The 21,216-nt window shown below is 39.8% G+C and overlaps 1 protein-coding gene across 5 annotated transcripts in view; it reads right to left on the reverse strand.

Annotated features, from left to right (window-relative positions):
* The window catches only part of ADGRA3 (adhesion G protein-coupled receptor A3), a 128,691-nt gene that overhangs the window by 59,113 nt on the left and 48,362 nt on the right, over positions 1 to 21,216 (reverse strand). For all 5 annotated transcript variants that reach the window (XR_007096381.1, NM_145290.4, XM_047449703.1 and 2 more), the window contains exons 3-5: positions 15,249 to 15,320; positions 8,378 to 8,449; positions 952 to 1,023 (exon numbers count right to left, since the gene is read on the reverse strand). Coding sequence is in view for 2 of the 5 variants with exons in the window: in NM_145290.4 (NP_660333.2) it covers positions 952 to 1,023; positions 8,378 to 8,449; positions 15,249 to 15,320 (216 nt within the window). In the remaining 3 variants the exon portion in view is untranslated. The remainder of the gene's footprint in view (positions 1 to 951; positions 1,024 to 8,377; positions 8,450 to 15,248; positions 15,321 to 21,216) is intronic.

Genomic DNA, 21,216 nt, shown 5'->3' on the forward strand with positions numbered 1-21,216 from the left:
TAAGGGTGCCAAAAAGAGAAACAAGATGGAGTATGGAGTGTGAGCCAAAGTGACTCCAGAAGTACACACACATGCCTGCTATGATGGTGAGGAGCTGGTTGGGGCTCCTAATAGCTATTAGCTACATCCCAAGGAAGACTCCTAAATGAGATTTAAATGACGGGTGCAGGAAAGGAACAGAGATGAGAGGAGAAGTCAGAGTACAGGGAAGAGAGGAATCAGGAGAGAAAAACTCTTTCCCTGGAAGAAAGACACTCAATCCCATAAATTACTCACAATGAAAACCTGAACAACATTATATTTAACTGTAATTCCAATAAGCTTAGGATAATTTATAGTCTGAGATATGTTAAGGTTTATCTGAAAATAGTTACTTTCAAAATAACTTCTATGCAATCTCTCAGTTAACAAAACTGGGGGAAAAAAAATCAACCAATTCTAAAGCTACAAGAAACTGTAAATCAGAACTTAAACTGATTTCATAAAGTAAGCATTCTAAATGAATATCCCTAGAAACATCAGTAATAAGCTGTAAGTTTGATTTTAAGTGGGGGGGGGGGTTTACAGGATAAAATTAAATTCCTAAAGTATAAAATATTCTTACAAATTCTTCATAGGAAGGGTTATTTTATACTTTGGAAATTTAATTAGTCAAACAAGGCAACATTTTATGATTTGAAAAAAAAGTCAAAAAGAAACAATTACCAGTTTACTTACTCTAAATATAGATTAGAGTAATATGGTATCCTAAGGAGAAAACAGTTGTCCTAGTCTAAACCACATTATTCAGGGTTACTGTATGTTTTTCAATGTGAATGCAAGCTCTCAAGTGAGACTCTACCTTGACAAGATTGTCCTCACAAAGTCTCTGAAACCACATAATAAATGTTTTTAATTTTCAAAAAGACATGAAAATCAAAAAAAAAAAGAGAGAAAAAAATTCTTACTTACAAAGACCGTAATGACGCAAGATAATCAAAAGTTCCTTGAGATAATGAAGAAAACAAATTCCCCGAAAGGTTTCTGAAAGACAGAAAACAATTTCACTTTTAAAAATACAATTATCTATCATTTTATCCTATTTCATATTTTCTAAAGCATCCTACAGTCATTAAATAATGTTGTAAAGAACTCATGAAAGTTTCAATGCTTATAAAGAGGGAGCGATTAGAAAACACTTCCTCCAAGGGTGAAGAAGAAAATTATGCTTCACCTTACACAAAGTAGTAAATACAATTATTAAAAGCATATTAAAGCTAGATAAGAATTTTTCTGTCAAATATCAGGTGAACCTAAAAGGTACCCTAACTGAATTCCCACTAGAATTACTCGAAGGGTTCACTCACATCTAATTTAAGAAAGCAGCAAATAAAAATGTAAAAACAAATAGAAAATAAATAATTAAAACTTTAAAAAATAACAAAAGGAAAAGGATGGCCTCAATGATCAGCAGCAGTAGCATACTAAACATGACTGAAAATATGAGGGGAGCGGGATGAGTTCAGGGCTTAAAATGAGAGACTGGGGATATAATTCCACGTTGCTCTTGGGCACATCAGTTCTCTAGTCTATCCTGTGTTAGCAGGCTTCAATACATAACCTGAGTCTCGCAGCGTTTTGAATGAATGGAACTCAGAAACCCCTATTCTACAATGTGAGTGGTTTGTTACACCCAAAACGATTTGACCGAATTATTTCTTTCATACCGGACGATGAGCTCTAGAGCTCGGGGGAGGACGGCCTGTGTGTGTACGCACTTCCGTGTACAGCCAGTAACATGCTGGAATATAAATGGTGCTCAATAATTGCCCATTGCTCAGGATGTACACCTCAACTTCAGGGGACTTCTAATGCTAAAATGAGACTGAGCACTCTGGAAAAATCGCATATGCTCAACCTCCACAAGATCTGTTCTATGCCTGTTATGGTATCAAGAACAGTCAGAATTTAGACCTAAAGTTCTAGAAATGAGGTGGGGGTGGAACACAGCAGAGGATGGGATAGAAATCCAGAGTCCTGCAACTTAGTCCTGCAACTTCTCCTCTGGAATCTGGGCTGAATTCTTCACATGTGAGAGAGAGTGACCATTGGGCAGATGCATTTCCAAGTGGAGTTGGAGAAGAGAACTGATCAGGAAGAGGTCAGCTGTTCCTGGGACACCTGTAGCAACATATTCCTGGATGGGAAGACCTGATATCACACAATGGCCAACACTTTACAAATTAACCTCCAATGACCTTCAGCAAGAACAACACTGGATTGGTTTTTATATTTTATAATTTTTTTGTAAGAAAAAGGCTGGATTCAGTGATTCTCACAGAATAAGTACCTAGGAACTTAAACAGAAAAGAGTATTTGCAAATTGAAAGGAGGAAAGGGAAGTCTTTTATTTTTGGCCTATCAGAGCAGATACCAAATGTGAATTGTGAGAAAGGTGTGCCCATGGCAGTATACATCACAATAACATTTTAAGAAAATAAAAAAGATAAAAATCATTTTGGCCGGGTGCAGTGGCTCACGCCTATAATCTCAGCAATTTGGGAGGGCTGAGGTGGGTGGATCACCTGAGGTCGGGAGTTTGAGACCAGCCTGGCCAAAATGGTGAAACTCCGTCTCTACTAAAACTACAAAATTAGCTGGGTGTGGTGGTGTGTGCTTGTCATCCCAGCTACTCAGGAAGCTGAGACACGAGAATGACTTGAACCCGGAAGGCAGAGGCTGCAGTGAGCCAGGACTGCAGCACTGCACTCCAACCTGAGCAACAGAGTGAGACCCCGTCTCAAAAAAAAAAAAAATTTTTTTTAAGAAAGTAACTTAGATGCAATTACAATCAACAACTGTGTATGTTATGAAGCTATCCCATTTTAAATATATGATTACTGAAATATGTTTAAAATAATGAATGCTACAAGACAAGACATGGTAGGTAAAACTGAAGTGCTAAGACAGGGTAATGGGTACACACACATTCCTTATATGTACAATTGTCTCCGATTTTCTTTAAATGTTTGCAAGATTCCATAACAGTAAGTTAGAAATAAATATCTATCCTACAAATGTAGGACTTCAAAGAATTGGGCCAGGTGCAGTGGCCCACACTTGTAATCCAGCACTTTGGGAGGCCAAGGTGGGCAGATTGCCTGTGGTGAGAAGTTTGAGACCAGCCTGGCCAACAGGTGAAACCCCGTCTCTACTAAAAATACAAAAATTAGCCAGGTGTGATGGTGTGTGCCTATAGTCCCTGCTACTTGGGAGGCTAAGGTGGTGACACCTTAAGCCTAAGGCTAAGCGGAGGTGACAGTGAACCAAGATGGTACCACTGCACTCCAGCCTGGGTAACAGAGTGAAACTCTGTCTCAAAAAAAAAAAAAAATGAATTGCATCTTACAGCAACCACTAGGTTCTAATATGCATATTATTAGATATTTCCCTTGGAAATCGCAAAGGAAGGGATCACATTAGAGAAGGACATGCCATCTTCTTAGTAAATCCCAACGCAAACCAATTTTTCCTTGAGTGTTGGAACAGATTGCCATTTGTATGGCTGAACACAAGTGAAGTAATTAGCTTGGATTTGGGGGGACATAAGCAATGACACATATTTTACAACATTACAATCGCAGTCTAGCTCTGAGATGCTCACTAAATAAATACATAAATAAATAAAACTAAGAGGGAGTTGAGAATGACCAGAACAAAGTCACTGCTCCTGTATCACAATAAGCTCATAGAATGGAGCAGCAGGTAAGTTACCCACCCACCCCCATCCTTTATGCTTCTTTTTTTTTTTTTTGAGACAAGTCTCACTCTGTTGCCCAGGCTGGAGAGCAGTGGATGGAGTACAGTGGCTCACTGCAATCTCTGCCTCCCAGGTTCAAGTGATTCTCATGCCTCAGCCTCCGGAGTAGCTGGGATTACAGGTACATGCCACCAGGCCTGGCTAATTTTTGTATTTTTAGTAGGGACGAGGTTTCATCATGTTAGCCAGGCTGGTCTCGAACTCCTGACCTCAAGTGATCCGCTTGCCTCAGCCTCCAAAGTGCTGGGATTACGGGCGTGAGCCACTGTGCCCAGCCATTGTTGTTTCTTACTCTCACTTAATTTGACTTTATTTACTTATTTTATGCTAAATAGATAACATTTGAATTCCTAAGAGCTGCATGTGTATATGATACATCATCTATTATACAGAAGCCTTTATCAGGGCAGATTTGGTAAAGGAAGGGGAAATGCAATTAAATGCAATCTCCATCTACAGAGGAATGACTAAGTTACAATCTGTTCTATAACTAGAATATTCTGTAGCCACTGACAAGCATGAACTAAATCAACATGTACTCTATTAAAAACATGTTAATATGTTGGTAAATTATTTTTAAACTGAGTTGCCAGGTACAGAGCATTTTTAAAGCTCTGTGTGTGTGTCTATGCATTTCTGGATATAACAGAAAAAAAAAAAAAAAATATATATATATATATATATACACCAGATCATTAATACAAGTTATCTCAGGATGATGTGACTGAAATGATGAAAGGAAATCTAATTTTTCCTTCATATGATTTTATTACTCAGTAACAACCACCTTTTTTGTATAAAGGAAGTTCTTTATACAAACATATATATATAAGTTGTATGTATGTATTTATATACAAATATATACACATGTTTTCATATAAAGGAAATTGTAAAGGGAAGTTCTTATAAATACATATATTTCTGATAGGGAAATATTAAAGGTATAACTCTTGAGGAAAAAATACAGGTATTAGATTGATCATAAAGAACAATTTGAAAAAATTTTGATCTGTAGATCTCCTGACAGATTTTGGTCTGCAGATCTCCTGACATTTCTCTGCAAATTAACTTCCTAAGTGAAGGACACAGGCTTCACAGAAGTCCATTATTGGCTCCCCGTTTGGTCTGCCAGTTATGTCCACTGTTACAGTGGGACAGAGTGAGAACCTTTGCAAGTAGGACTATACTTCTCTGAGACAGTTCAAGAGAACTTCTCCATCAGCAAAGGCAGAGATCAATATATAGAATTAATCAACTTTACACCCCCACTCCACCCATGTCTACTAAGGCCTCTGACACACTTAAAGAAAGGGTTGTTTTTTCTAAAAAAAAAAAAAATTATTAAATTTCCAAAGCCAAGACTTGATCAAAAATGATGAGAAATCTGGCTGAGAATGCCTAGGCTGTCCGCCAAGGTCTCATCATCCCTTAGCCAAGGAAGTTTGAGGTCCCCATTTGAAGAGTTACCAGAGGAAACGGCTAGAACAGTGATCCACTCTAGAATTCCTTCTTTTTGTATACCTTCTCTTTCAGGTGGGAAACAGTAAGAGGAAGATCTCTGATTCCTAATCTAAGAAATGTATTACATGCTCCATTCCTAATCATATTCTCTTTTCTACTCATTGGACTGAGAAAATGCTATTCTCCATATCTGAAATATGAGCTGTTATCATCCTTCACAACTGGCATATGGCCTGGCTCAAGAGCTCAAAAATCTGGGGACAGTAGCAGCCCATGCAAAACATTTAAAGTTTCCTGATCCACAGCTCTAGACCTGTGCCAACCCAAATTACGATAAGCAATGTCACTGCAACACAATGTTGAATGGTAAGAAGTTTCCTTAATTGCCACGTTGTCTTTAAAAGGTATTTAAAAGATGTAGGCCAGGTATACTGCTATATATGCCACAGACTGTTCCATTTAGAAAATCCACAATAGGAATGATAGACAGTGGAAAATCACATGCATGAGGGGGTAGGAAGAGGGTGGATGATGAGATTAATGGGTATAATGTACATGATTCAGGTGATGGATACCTAAAAGCCCTGACTTGACCACCATGCAATCTATGCCTGTAACAAAACTGCACCTGTACCCCAGAAATCTATATACAAATACAAATAAATCAAATTTAAAGGCCACTATAATCTATTATTACATGAACTATAAGATCATCTCAATCAAATCTCAAAGTGGGAAGCTTGGCAATATTATTTTTATGTTTTCATGTTTTACTTGGATGATGTTCATTGTGTTCCATGATGTATACATTCTCATAACAGGTATAAGATAACTGGTAAAAATGTAAGAGACAACCCAAGTTCTAAACCTACCAAACATTTTAGTTCTTGACGAAGAAGGCAAAGGAAATACTAAGAAAATAGCAACCTGCCCTAACAGAAGCTCTGTCTCACCCAGCTCTTTTGCCTAAAGAACATTTGCTGATGTGTCAAATCCCTAGGCCAAAGCTAGAAATCAATCTAAAACTAAAATCAACAAAATAGTAGGCTCCACTTTACTATTTTGTTTTTCATTACTTCAGTCATAGCTGTCCAAAAACATAACAAAAGCCTACTTCACAGATGTATGGTTTTGTCAATTCTAACGCAGTCCTCTAAAGTAAAAATACAGCCAGGCGTGGTGGCTCACGCCTGTAATCCCAGCACTTTGGGAGTCTGGGTTGAGTGGATCACGAGGTCAGGAGTCTAAGACCAGCCTGGCCAAGATGGCAAAACCCCATCTCTACTAAAAATACAAAAAAAAAATTAGCCGGGCGTGGTGGCGGGCACCTGTAATCCCAGCTACTCGCAAGGCTGAGGCAGAGAATGGCGTGAACCCGGGAGGTGGAGGTTGCAGTGAGCCGAGATTGTGCCACTGCACTCCAGCCTGGGCGACAGAGCGAGACTCCATCTCAAAAAAAAAAAAAAAAAGAAAGAAAAAGTAAAAATACAAAAAGCTCAAGAAGAGATTTTAAAAAGCACTGAGATAGAAATGTTTGCAGGGCAATTACAAAGGAGTTAAGAAGCAGTTAATTTAACTAACTTAAGTCATGAGTAAAGCTGCACACCAAATCAGTCTTTTATTTAAAAACAAAAATCAGGCCATATACCTTTCCCTGAAAACAAAAGGACACACTGAAAACAGCTACAAATTTCCTATGCAGCACGAACATTCTGTTCTACTCTAATAATTGATTTGAAATCTCTTCCCTTACTGTATAGATGAAAGAATCTCTTCATTTAAGCCCCTAATTGGTTTTTCAAAGGTAACTTGAAATACAAGAAACATTCTAAAAAGCTACAGGGAGAAAGAACCACAAGTAGACAACCCTTAACACTGACCTTCCACTCCACATCTAGCATTTCATGCGGAACCCTATTCCCAGACTACTTGTCTCTAAAACATGATTTCATGCCATTTTCCAACATAAATGTCTTTCAGTGGCTTCCTATTGTTTAGTCAGTTCTAAGCCCCTATCTGCTTTTCATACATTTCAAAATAAAGCTGTATTATAAGTAATCAGCCTTATGTCTAATTACTCCCAAACAAAACTTCTTTATTACTTTTTTTTTTATTTTTTTGAGACAGAGTCTTGCTCTGTCACCCACAGCTGGAGTGCAGTGGCGTAATCTTGGCTCACTGCAACCTCTGCAACGTCTGCCTCCTGGGTTCAAGCAATTCTCGTGACTCAGCCTCCCGAGTAGCTGGGACTACAGGCATGTGCCACCACGCCCAGCTAATTTTTGTATTTTTAGTAGAGATGGGGTTTTACCATGTTAGCCAGGCTGGTCTCAAACTCGTGACCTCAACTGATCTGTCTGCCTCGGCCTCGCAAAGTGCTGGGATTACAGGCGTGAGCCACTGTTCCTAGCTTAAAACTTCTTTATTTTTTTAAAAAAGATATAAACATACTTGATGGCTTATACAAAGTTCTTCTACATTTATATTCTATATAAATTATAATAAACAAATATAGATAACTTAAATTTTAAATAATCATTATAACTTTGAGCTACTATTAATCCTACTTTGTAGACGAAAAACAGAAAAGTTCAGAAAAGTCAAACAATTCACCCCAGATCACATGGTCAGAGGCACAATTCAAATGTTTATTTTCCTCCAAGGCCACCAGCCTTCCCCTTGACAAATGGCCTTGTTCTCATTCCCACCTTCATGTATCATTAGTTTGGCTTCTTTTCCTTTCTCACTATCCAGATCTCTGCAAATCTTCTGGGCCATCAGCTCACATTTTACTATTTCCTAGAAATTTTCCCAGACTAGCAAAGCTTTTGATCATACTGCTCAGCATGAACGTGCTCTCTGTTGCATGTACTACACTGTGTTATTTGGTGTGTGTGTGTGGTGTACATGCACATGTGTCCGTGTGTGGTGTGGTAAGGTAGCATTATATTCTGAGGAGATTACATCCCCATGATTAAATTGTGAGCTCCTTGTCCCCTATGGCTTCTATAACCCCTACAGTTGCTACTTATAATTAAATACATAAGTTTCATACATATTTAGGTACTGGCTCAAATGCTTCCTTATCTTTTAATGGGAAAGAAAAGATATACTTACAGCCGAACCAGATTGGTGAGTCCTCGAAATATGTCTGCATTCAGACATCCTATTCGATTGTTTGTCAGATCCCTAAGGAGAAGGGTGGAAAAGTGTCTTCAATTAGTTCTCTTGGTTAAAGAAGGTCTCATGCATTCAGTATTCAAGAACAGCACCCAGGTATCGCACAAGACCTTTATTCTAGCAACTTTGAGATATTTACTGTACGCAAATGAGATAAGGATAGCAGTGAGGCTGAAAATGATCCTTGCTTTCACTTACTGCTGGCACGCACAGACTCAATGCTGCTCAATTATAGTGCCCTCTATATTTCAAGCACTTACTCTTGCAAAATTACTCAAGATAAAACTGGAGTAGTAAAAATGAGACTCAAACTATTTTGCTGCCTGCAATACAATTCCTTAGATGACCTACACAGTTAATTATGCTGGGGCAGTTGGAGAACTGAGCCCAAACTCAGCCAGTAAATGACAGATAATGGATAAAAGGGCAAAATATTACAATGATGGAACTTTCATTTCCTCGGAAACATCTGAAAATACCACTTTCTGACTTCATTCCTTAAATACTCAGAAGTTTCAACTATAATGAAAAAAAAAACTGTGTTAGCTTTTAGTTTACAGATCTATCATTCAGACTCCTAGCCAAATTACTTTAACAATATCTATGATATGGCCCAATTATTTTTGCAATCACTCCTCATTTCTATTTCCTATTAAATATTACCTTCTAAATATTTTTTACTTCTCCTCAATGAAACCTTTTTCTTTTTACCTATGTAAAAGTTTTAGTTAATATTTTGTTCTATCCCTCTTTATTTACTTTGCTTGACATCAAGGACAATGAACACAATTTTATTTTTACATTTAATCAGACACCTGCACTGGTTTAAAAGTAAAAACTTTATGTTGGGAGATAACCACTGACAATATCTGTAACTTACACCTGGCATGGCATGACTCGCATCATTGTTTTCAGTGGACTTAGCCCTATGCAAGAAAACCCTAAAACAATGAATCTTAAGTTTTATTAGTTGCTAGACTTGGAATAATTCATCACACTTTGAATTCTGACAGAATAATTAGAATAAGCTCCCTAAGTCAAACTTTCAAAAATATTTTCATCATATTGCCTCCAATGTCCCTATTATTCTCTGTCATAGAGAGGTACGCATTCTTCGAGTTACTCTTCAGTAAGGCGATCTGCACCATCCATTTCAAACTAAAAGTATTGGATTCCAAACTGTGTACTTGGTCATGTAGTAGTCTCACCAGAAATTCTAAGAACATAATGTTTGAATCAGGTACCTAACTCGTTTGTTTTTTTTCCTTGACTATTTCAAAAGTTAAAATGAGATGGTTTAATTTTAGGTGTCAACTTCGCTGGATTGAGAGGCCTCAATGGCTGGTGAAGCATTGGTTTGGGTGTGTCTGTGAGGGCGTTTCCAGGGGAGATTGGTGCGGGAGTCAGTGGACAGAGACAGGAAGGACCTGCCCTCAGTATGGGTGGGCACCATCCAGTCAGCTGGGGCCCTGCTGGGACAAACAGGCAAAAGAGAGGGCTTGTCTCTCTCTGCTCTCTCTCTCCCCTTCCACAGCAGGATGTCTTCTCCTCCTGTTGTTGGACATCAGGCTACAGGTTCTTTGTCTTTTGGACTCTGGAACTTGCATCAGTGGGCTTCCTGGGGCTTTCATGCCTTCGGCCTTGGACTGGGGACTGCAAGGTCAGCTTCTCCAGTTCTAAGGCTTCCAGACTTTGATTGAGCTATGCTACAGGATTCATAGGCCCTCCAGCTTACAGAAAGCCTATTGTGGGACCTCTCTCCCTCTGTGATCATGTAAGCCAATTCCCCCTAATAAATCCCCTCTCATACATCCTACTGGTCCTCTCTCTCTGGAGAGGCCTAATACAGCACCTTAGGTAATCCTAATTTCAATAATTTCATAGTTCTGCCTTCCCTCTGTTATGGCAACATTTGATAAAAGAATCTTAAGCAATATAAGTCTTTATCTGTCCTCGTTTTTCTGTAGCTCCTAAGTATTTAATCACGTGGGACTTTTTCTTTTAAATCCCAGTTGATTTTCCTTTTAATTCTGGGTTTCACTGTTAACAAAAATTAGGCATCTTCTTGTAAATTGTTGCATAAACAAGCATATCTAGGCTCTATTTATAATCTTGTCTCAATTCTGAGCTTTAAGTGGTGCAATCACCATTGATTCTCTGGGAAACAATTTCATTACAGCTATACCTACTTAAAATGGTATTTAGATATTGATAATGGGTTGTTATTTGGATTGAGAATCAACTTAAATTCGTTGATAAAACAAGAGAAACTGATGGATCTAGGGTTCACCTACTTCTGATAGTATATTCTTCAGAAAGCCACTTCAACTTCCTAAATCAAATTATTTATAAACTAAAGGCAAAGGCATGGTTTAATAACAAAAATACTTTATGTGTTCTTGTTAAGGGAGATGCACAACTGAAATTAATGACTTAAGAACCCATAAGAAAAACGGTCTGTATCTATGAGCAACTAGCAAACATCACTACTGTCAAATATCTTTATATCCCGTTGAGTTTACATACAGGACTTCTTCAGCTTGCAAGCTGTGTACCCTAAGTTAATTATAAGTCATCTGTTTGGAATTAAGAATGTATCTTCTAGTGGGAAGAATATTATAAATGGCAATTACCTTCCTAAGCAAGAACACAAGAGACTACTTAACGTGTAACACAGTGAAAGACTACTAAGGCAATGCCTGGTACAATATCAGTAATTATATTAAATACTCCTGAATGAGAATTTTTAAAATTCATTTTGGATGGCAGTGCTTGAGAGATTATTTACTGAAAGATAAATAACTAGATGGAGAATCTAAGATAGTCTGCAGAATCTAAAACATACTGAAGAAACTGCTTTTTATTAACAATAGGTTTTCTTCAAAGTATATCTCAGCATAGAGATAAAATCAGCATTAAGATAGTCTGCAGTATCTAAAACATACTGAAGAAACTGCTTTTTATTAACAATAGGTTTTCTTCAAACTATATCTCAGCATAGAGATAAAATCAGCATTAATATTTTTATTACCTAAAAGCTGTGACTACAACAGTGTGGAACACAGAGGGAGGGGATAAGAAAAGGACCTGACAGTATTATTTCACATTCCTCCCATTGAGGGAAAAAAATAGATTGCAGGGAAAAATATTCTAAAAGTTCTCATACTTTCACATCAGAATCACTGGGAGGGATGGTTGAAATAAAAATCATTCAGCATCAGCCCGAGTTTCTGATAGGGTAGATCTTAGCCCCTACACTTTTGCTTTCTACTTGAGGACTCATGTTCCTAGGCATGGGTGCAAAACTGACTCCAGCACAGACAGAAGCACAAAGAAAGTGAGTCACTGCTATAAATCATGCTCACCTGCTGCTGCCCCTCAACTCCCTAATGACCTGTGTCTGGAGGTGCAGCCTGTTTACGGTCATGCTCCATATCCCCTGCCTGTGTCTGGATAGCTGAGTCCTAACAACTTCCAAGACTCTTAGCAGCTAAACTCTAGCTACTGCTTCATCTCTTTGTAAATGTATTTCAATTCCATATCCAGACTCTTGGTCGGTGTTCGTAATTCCATTAGACTGCAAACTCCTCGAGAGCTTCCTGATTTACCTGTGTGTCTCCAGACCCTTGCTCACAGTTGGGCTCACAGGATGAACTTCATGAATTTTTGTTGAACTGAACTGACACCGATCACCACCTTATCATTTTGATTACGCTGCTACACCTGGTTGATAGTCCTTTTACTGAACTCTAAACCTGGCTTGGTCCCATGCAATCTGATGCCTAATGTCTACCCTCCTATAATGCTTACCTTCCTTACCTAGAACTCCAATCTCCACTACCACCTACCCCAGACCAGCCAGCTTTTCTAACTTGTTCCATTAAAAGTCTTCACTAGAAAATAATAAAGTGCAGAATGGGCAGAAGAGAAGAAAACTGATTAGTAGCAAGATCTCCTCCAGATGGCCCTGAGTTTCTAATGAGCGCAGACAGACTGATAAACACAGGAGACCACCACTCACCCCCAGCAAAAACTATGGTAGGAAATTCCCTACTGATTCAAATTGTAACTAATTTTAAAAGACAAAGAGAAAATCCTTTAACTCCTACCTTTCTTAATCTTACAGAATTCTGACCCTTAAGGCTGCCTGAGAGAGAAAAATAGGAGGAAAGCTACAGACGATAGGTTTTTAGATGAAAGATATTTTACTTGCAAAAGCAATAAAAAAAAATCTTTTGCAAAAAAGAGCATGACCAATTTTTACAATTGGATTTTACAATAAAAAGGAATAGGTTTTGCAAATACTGCACGTTCTCACTTCTAAGCGGGAGGTAAATGATGAGAACACATGGATACATAGAGGGAACAACACACACTGGGGCCTTTTGGAGGGAGGAGGGTGGAAGGAGGGAGAGGATCAAGAAAAACAACTAATGAGTACTAGGCTTAATACCTGGGTGATGAAATAATCTGTGTAACAAACCCCCATGGCACAAGTTTACCTACGCAACAAACCTGCACTTGTACCCCTGAACTAAAAAGTTAAAAAAAAAAATAAAGAAATAGGTTTTAAACGACTAAATAAGACAGACGATGTCAAAAGTATTAAGATGGAAAGTCAATGTCAACATTTAAGTCATGGCATAATTAAACTAAAAGCAGCCATACCCAGTGTTATGATGCAAATACTACAGAAAACCAGTAAGACATAAAAAAAATACCCACACACACTGGAGGCGGAAAAAAAAAGAAAACTTAAAGAAGTATATAAGAACCCCAAAAAACAAGACACAGAGCCCACCAAAAGGATGACTATAAGGAAAATAAAACCATGGATCTGGTCTCTCTCCCTGATCTTTTGTCCCTGGTCTCCCTACATTTATGTGGTTTCTCCTTATTGCTATCAGGAATACTCTGAAATACAAATCTGATCACGTCAATTCCATAATAAAAAAGTTCTGGTAGCCCCGCACTGTCAAAAGAACAGATTAAACATTTTTAATATAGCAGGTCTTCAAAATCCCAGTCCCTGACCGGCCTGATCTCCCAATATTCTTTTCCCTCTTTCTACTTTCTGCTCTGATCAAAGAACTAAACTACTGTCCCAAGAGATACATTCTTGCACACCTGCGCCCACCCTGTTTGGAAGGCCTTTTTAATACATATTCATTCCTTGGGAGAAAGTTCAAATCTAAACACGTCAGTGGCTCTCATGGCAGGCTGTTCCCATTGCAGGTGCTCTCTCCTTTCCCTAGCAGGTTCTGTTTATGATCTAACCTGTTACAGCGCCTGTGTGTGCGTTCAGACGTATTTTCACTAACGACTGAAGGGTAGCAGAACATGCCACCCAAAACATGTCATGTTGGCATAAGGATTATTTCCAGCTACAGGCAATTGAAAAGCAGATAGATACAAGAAAAGTTCTCTGCTCTACCCTATCTGACTAAAAGCAGGACATAAATTTACAAAGGTGTCCCTCCTCCCCTCTCCACCAGAAAGGACAAAAGTTCCTCCCAGGAGAGGGCTTTGGACCCTTATCAGCCTAGACAAGGCACCAAAGGAATCTACATAACAAACATTACTAACTGGACTTTATCTACCATTAGTCTCCAATATATTTGCCTTCCCACAATTTGCTTTCCCTTAAGAGACTCAAGGTCCTTTTCCTTTGTCTTGTCACTTCTCTAAAAATGTATTGCTCCTTGTTGAAATGCTACATAAGCCAGAGTTCTAAGCCACCTCTTTTGAGAATTACTCTTTTCCTGAGTTTTCTCAATAAACTTGTTTTTCTCCTGTTAATCTGTCTTTTGTTAGAGGTCCAAGCTGAGAAATTAGAAGGGTAGAGGGAAAATTATTTTTCTTCCCCTACATTATCTATCCTCCCCACCCCAAGGGTCTGCAAGATCTTCCGAAGAAGTCAGGGCATGGTAAGTGGCAAGTGCTCAGTAAACGCTTTCAGAAAGCATAAAGGATGGAGAGACAGTCCTCATGGCTTTTGTGTAGAGCCGCTTCTCAAATGTGGGCCTGCTCAGACAGCAACTGTGAAAGGAGCTTCGTATAGGAGATAGGGGAGTTGTTTAGCTTCAGAAGCAATAAAAACTGGTCCTTAGGTTTTAAAATTGTAATATATAGATACACATGAAAATAGCAAGACTTTAAATCATTACTTAAAAGGTACCTCTGTTTATATGGCATTTACAACAGACACAGTTTGAATGGATTCATAATTTGAAAATCGTCTACAGATTATGTGCGCCGGCAAAGCCGACATGGTAATGATTTTAGTAGCATAAGAGTAACACAGCCATCCACCACCAAACAAATCAAACCACTGTGCAAATCAACCACCTTCTCAGCTACTTATATAAAATACTCTTTGTTTTTCTTTCTTTTTGTTTTATTGAGACAGAGTCTCGCTCTGTCTTGCAGTGGCACAATCTCAGCTCATTGTAGTCTCCCATTCCCAGGTTCCAGTGATTCTCCTGCCTCAGCCTCCCAGGTAGCTGGGACTACAGGCACACACCACCATGCCAGCTCATTTTCGTATTTTTAGTAGAGACGGGGTTTCACCACCTTGGCCAGGCTGGTCTTGAATTCCTGACCTCAGGTGATCCACCCGCCTCAGCCTCCCAAAGTGCTGGGAATACAGGCGTGAGCCACTGTGCCCAGCCTCTTTCTGTATCAGGGACCTGGCCAGGTAAAGCTCAAAAAATTATTAAATGTCCATTTTTCATCATGTTAAAGTAAGTTGACAGCTATTTATATAAGCAACAATTCAAACTCGTAAGCAAGCAATTCAAACACTTACAATCTTTTTAGAGATGACAGTCCCCAGAAGGCACCTGGATCTATACTACTAATAAGATTGTTTCGGAGGTCCCTGTTAAAAATAAAATAAAAGTTATTCACATATCAACACTGCAACAAGTATTCAGGCACAATACACTTACCTGCTATACAAAAAAAACAAAAGTATAATAATAAGAGGAGGAAACTGAAGCCAAAAGGGTTAAGCCAAGATCAACCCAGTAGTAAAAGGGAGAGTCAGAATGCAAATTTGACAAATCTGGCTCCAAAGCCTTTTGGTTTGGTCAATAAAATAATAAAAATATACGTCATAAAAGAAATATGTGACCTAATATTATTCAACTTCACAATTATCACTGAACTACAATCATATACATTATTTCTATAATTTCTTCTTTAGTATGCCATACTTTGAATATCAAAGTAAATCTAATTACAATTGTGACAAACATCATTCAGTTGAATTTTAAAAAACCATCTTCAAAAATATACACTCTAAAATTCATGTCTTTTGGTTGTTCATATATTTTCCCTTCCCTGGCCTTCTATATTTAGGTTTTTGGGGTTTTTTGTTGTTGTTGTTGTTGTTGTCATTTGAGACGGAGTCTTGCTCTGTCACCCAGGCTGGAGTGCAGTGGCGTGATCCTGACTCACTGCAACCTCCACCTCCCAGGCTCAAGCAATTCTCGTGCCTCAGCCTCCTGAGTAGAGAGGGTTACAGGCGCCTGTCACCATACCCGGCTAATTTTTTGTATTTTTAGTAGAGACAGGGTTTTGCCATGTTGGCCAGGCTGATCTCAAACTCCTGACCTCAAGCAATCTGCCTGCCTCAGTCTTTCAAAGTGCTGGGATTACAGGCATGAGCCACTGCACTCAGCCTACGGTTAGGTTTTCTATGAGGTGAGGATATAAAATAAATGTGTGATAAAACACAATATATAGCTCAAAGCAAAGATGCACAAGCTTCCTACCATGTGGTATTTGATAGCAATCACCATTTATCCTATTCTTCTCAAGTATGCTGGCACGTCCATGCAAGAGCACTACCACTTGGGGGTGGGAGGCAGCAGTGAATGTCTCAGCCACATCCCTCTACTCCTGTGGTTTTGCAGACACACTATGGCTACAGCTCCCCTCCTGGTGGCTGGGCTCAGCTGGGGACTCGCCAGTTGCCTATACAAGTGTTTGGCTAGACCTCTGTGGAGAGCTGACAGTCTAAATACAGTCCCCTTCCCTAGACCACACTCTTGCCAGTGGCAGGCCCACACTTCCGCTTTATGGGACACCCTCAGCTGGGTCTGTTTGTCAAGACTCACCTACAACCTTGTCTACTGAAGCCAGAGTGGCCTCTGCTCATCTCCCAGGGAAGCTGAAGCCATATGGAGAACTGAAACGCTTTTCAGTTTTTCTTCTGACATCCTTACATAACAGTGGCAACCTTGCCCATTCTTTATACAGCCACGTGTAAGCTTCCAACACTATTCTTCATTTAAGGATGCACATGACATTGGTGAAACCAAACAGACATGTAGAGAAATGCTCAGTACAAGCCAAAGTAACCAGTACCTCCAGGGTTCCTTAGTCCCTTACTTACTTGAAATGTACAAGACCTTCCTGGAAGTAGACCCTGGACCACTGGCGCCACCTGTCAGCACAACACTGTGCTAGGCTCTTTAATAACAATTGCTCCGTCATGGCCATGCTCACCCGTGCCCAGGCAGTCTAAATTATTTAGAGGAAAATCCTCAGTTTGCCTTCTCCATCCTCTCCAAATCAGAAAGCAGCGGGCATCCCTTCTCTACCTATGCTCCAAGGAAGTCTGGCTGCAATGAGCACAGATTCACGTGTTTTCTTCCATCCAATCACAGGCACATTCAACGTTACTGTCCCACCAGCTAATGAAAGTGAACTGCTATACATGGCATGCCTCATAACATGTGAGTTTTCTCTCAGGCTCATTCTAGCAATATAGAAAAAGTTACAACATCAAAGTTGGTTACTAGTTGGATTCCCCAGAAATTTCACAAAAGCATCCTGAGGAGGTTGGCCCTTTGCTCAGCAGCAGTGGTTGTCATTCATTTACCGTAAGCCCAGCATTTTTGATGTGTCAGTGGCACTGTGGCTTCCAAGCTATGTGTGCTGTTTAACACCTGGTGATAGAGACTGGACTAGAAATTCTCAAGAACGTTGCTCTGGAAATGCAACCTGTGAATCCTGGGATCACTGTGACCTCCAGCAAATTCTATGGTCTTTCTTGCATCTAATCCTCATTTTAACACACAGGCACTCCTCAGTAGCTAAGGTTGGGACTGCAATTCTACCACCTCCCCACAATCAGAGCCAGGTTTTTCTAAATAAAACCAAACTCCCTGCAACCACCACCCCCAATACTTCACAATATTTTAAAAAACAAAATGATTATTAAACACCAGTATAAAATCTATGCTCTGATTACCATCACTGGGTAGGTATTTCATTAATCAGAATTCTGAAAACTTCATATTCCACAAGAAGAAAACAGCTTTGTCAATGCTGGTAACTACCCTAACTTTTTGGGGTTTTGCACCCTGGCCTCTAAGACATTTTCTAAATAAAGTATCTGAAAAGATCTGAAAAAGTCAGGAAGCTTCACGAAATACATTTAAATGGTCAGAAAAGGTCTTAGTAGTCAGGTAAACTCACAAATCCCATCCTTCTCTCTTCCAACCAGTGTTTAAGTTCTCCTCTTAACTTGGAGTAAAAAGACGGTCCCTGGTGTAGCAATTTCAACAGAAAGAGGAATATTATGCAGAGGATAAGTTCCCTGCTGTGAATGCCATGGCCCCAGCATCCCTTATCTCCAGGCACCTGCTGCAGTAGACACTGACAGCATGGCAGCGCTCACGCCTGCAGTCCCTCTACCTGCAACTCTTCCCCATGCAGCTTTCTCTTGGGCACCTCCTGAGAGTCAACCCATGAAGGTCAGAGGTAAAGGGCATGAATGGCCATAGGAAGAGTCCTCACCTGGAATGAAAACAGGATATCCCAGGGGGCTGGGGGGTCTGAGTGTGCTCCTTGCTGGCTCCCAGCAGTCCCCAGTATCAGCTGCCTGCCGCAGGAGCTGCCTGGGAAGACACTGCCCTAACGGCTGCCCTTGCGTCTCATGGTCCAGTACCAAATATGAGGGCTGTTGGGCAAACCTCCCAACCAAATCACTACACTGAAAGCTCACCTGGGGACCTGCTTCTGGGGAAATCAGCCTGGTAATGTGAACCAGCCGGTACCCAGGCCAAGCAGAGACCTAAGGAAACTCTGCCCACTCCATTCTGAGGACAAATAGTGAAAGGTGTAGACCAGAAGCCATTCAAAAATTCCAAACTTCTACAATGAGTGAAGGTGGGAAAGGTTTGCAACTATCAAGGATTCCAAAATTTAATAACACTATAATTATTGCTATCAATTATTTAATGTTTAATTTTCTTTTGGTTGGGGGAGCAGCCTTCTCCATTGCTTTAAGATGGAAACACCTCTACTTCTCCATATGGTACAGGTAGTACCCCCAAATTTTCAACACCATCCCTTCAGGCATGACACCTGACCAACCTTGTGCAGATTTTTCAAATACTCTGGTCTTAGCAATTATACGACTTTGGTCTAACTAAACCTAGGACTTGTGGGAGAGGGAGGGATGAGCATAGACATTCCCACTGGTTTGATAAGAGGTCAAGATCTGAGTCTGGAGCTGCTAACGGCCCTGTTGCTACAATCTGAAGAAGCCAACAGATGGGAAACGAGAAAAATGGTGAGCCCCTGGATCCAGCCAAGCCTGAAATCCACCTCTAACTCTGGGCTGTTTGGATGCACAAACCAGTAAATATAGTGAGTTGGTGTCTATCACTTATCAGACCATTAAGACCTTATAATCACCCTAGGAGGCAGTGTCATTGTTTCAGATGAGGAAACTCATGCACATAAAGATTAAGAAATTCGGCCAAGTTGTTGATTTTAATAAGTGGCCAGGATTTAAGTGTATCTTTCTGACTGACACAGTGGAGATTTACTAAAGGAACCAAGTAAATTTATAGCTAAAATAATAGGAAAACAGGTAAACCAAACACACTGAAAAGTTGGCCATGATCAAGTTGAGTTGCTGGAGATAACTTTCTTTCAACTTCTCCATATGTTTGAAAAACTAAGTTATTTTATGTGGTAACCCCCACCCTTCCAATTAGGCCTCAAAGTCACTGCCTCTCTGTCCTGGTCATCATCATCACCCTAGCCCAGGTTGTAAACCACACAAGTTCTCACCTGTGTCCGATTCTCCATTTGAAGTGATCTTTTTAAACACAGACCTGATCAAGACTTTGCTCTGATTTAAACCTCAAAAAGATCCACAGTCCCTCAGAAGGAAGTTCAGGTGCGTTAAGGTAACTTCCAAGGATACCCGTGGTCCCAGCCTTGCCCACCTTTCCTTCACCAACTCTCACTTCCCATCTGCTCAACACCTTCCCTTAACACTCACCCTGTCTCTCTTCATTTATACCAGTCATACTGCAAGATGTTTCTAGAAAGGGTATTTCCTCTCACCTCTAGACCTCTGCACTTGGGATTCCCTGTCCTGAACGCATCTCAATCTCCAACTCACAACTTCACCTCCATCCCTCTTCACCCACGTATCCTTGAGGCCTTGGGTGAAACTCCATTCCTTCCTCCAGAAAAATACCTGTGAATGCTGGGCGCATTGGCTCACGCCTATAATCCCAGCACTTTGGGAGGCCGAGGCAGGTGGATCACCTGAGATCAGGAGTTCGAGAACAGCCTGGCCAACATGGTGAAACCCCGTCTCTACTAAAAATACAAAAATTAGCCAGGCGTGATGGCGCACACCTGTAGTCCCAGCTACTCAGGAGGCTGAGGCTTGAACCCAGGAGGCAGAGGCTGCAGTGCCGAGATCACACCACCGCACTCCAGCTTGGCGACAGATCAAGACTCCGTCTCAAAAAAAAAAACTTGTGAACAACAGCACTCTGCGCCCTGTCCTGTGGCATCTCTTATCACGCTGTACCAAGTGCACCTCAGTTACTTCAACTGTCCTCACTGAGAGACCACAGGTTCCACAAGAGCAGGCTCTGCTCCACTCAGCGAGGGGGTGACACACAATATAGAGTGTGTGGATGGATATGTTCATGGACGAAAGAATACACCAAGGCTAGGAGACAGAATTACATTAACCTTTCTATAAAAATATTTTTAGTAAGTTATGGTTGGCTACAAAATTACAAGGCTGTTCATAAAGCCAGATAACGTGGAGAATGCGGTATCTCATTACTAATCATTTCCATTTCTCCATAAAAGTAGACAGTCATGACATCTGTAGTTGACCTTCGAATAATTCACCAAACATATGTAAGCATATTCCAATATAGAAGAAAAAACGATGGCATATTCTTAATAATTACTGAATTGTTGAACTGGGTAAGTAAATTGGTAATATGAAAGATTATGGCATTGCCCTTTCAATTCTTCCGTATGTTTAAAATTCTTCATAATCAAATGTTTGATCCCCAGCATTTTAAGTCCCAGGAGGTACAGTTAATCATCAGGACTTACTTATTAGTTCCTATCTCCCTCCCTGCAACTCCCCAACTGACCCTCATTTCAACAAGATAAGATTATTTTATGAAAAAATTCAACCTGTATGTTTTTGACTTGTTTTGCATAAGCTAAAAAGCTCTGTAAATAGAAATATATAATGTCAGTTCCATTTTTTAAAAACACACGTTTCCCTTTTCAGATTTTAAACAGCATCTACAACAGGAACTGAGTTAGTTAGCTAAAGCAGTACATCAATTTGGAGTCAATGATGAACTGCATATGTTTCTACAAAATACCTCTCATGAATAACTGAGCACTGTAATATGATTTAAAGATGTACGTTTTCTTTAATAAAAAATTCTTGACATATTATATAACATTTAATAATAGCCATA

This window comes from Homo sapiens, chromosome 4 (genome assembly GCF_000001405.40).
Source record: "Homo sapiens chromosome 4, GRCh38.p14 Primary Assembly".
NCBI classification, from domain to species: Eukaryota; Metazoa; Chordata; class Mammalia; order Primates; family Hominidae; genus Homo; species Homo sapiens.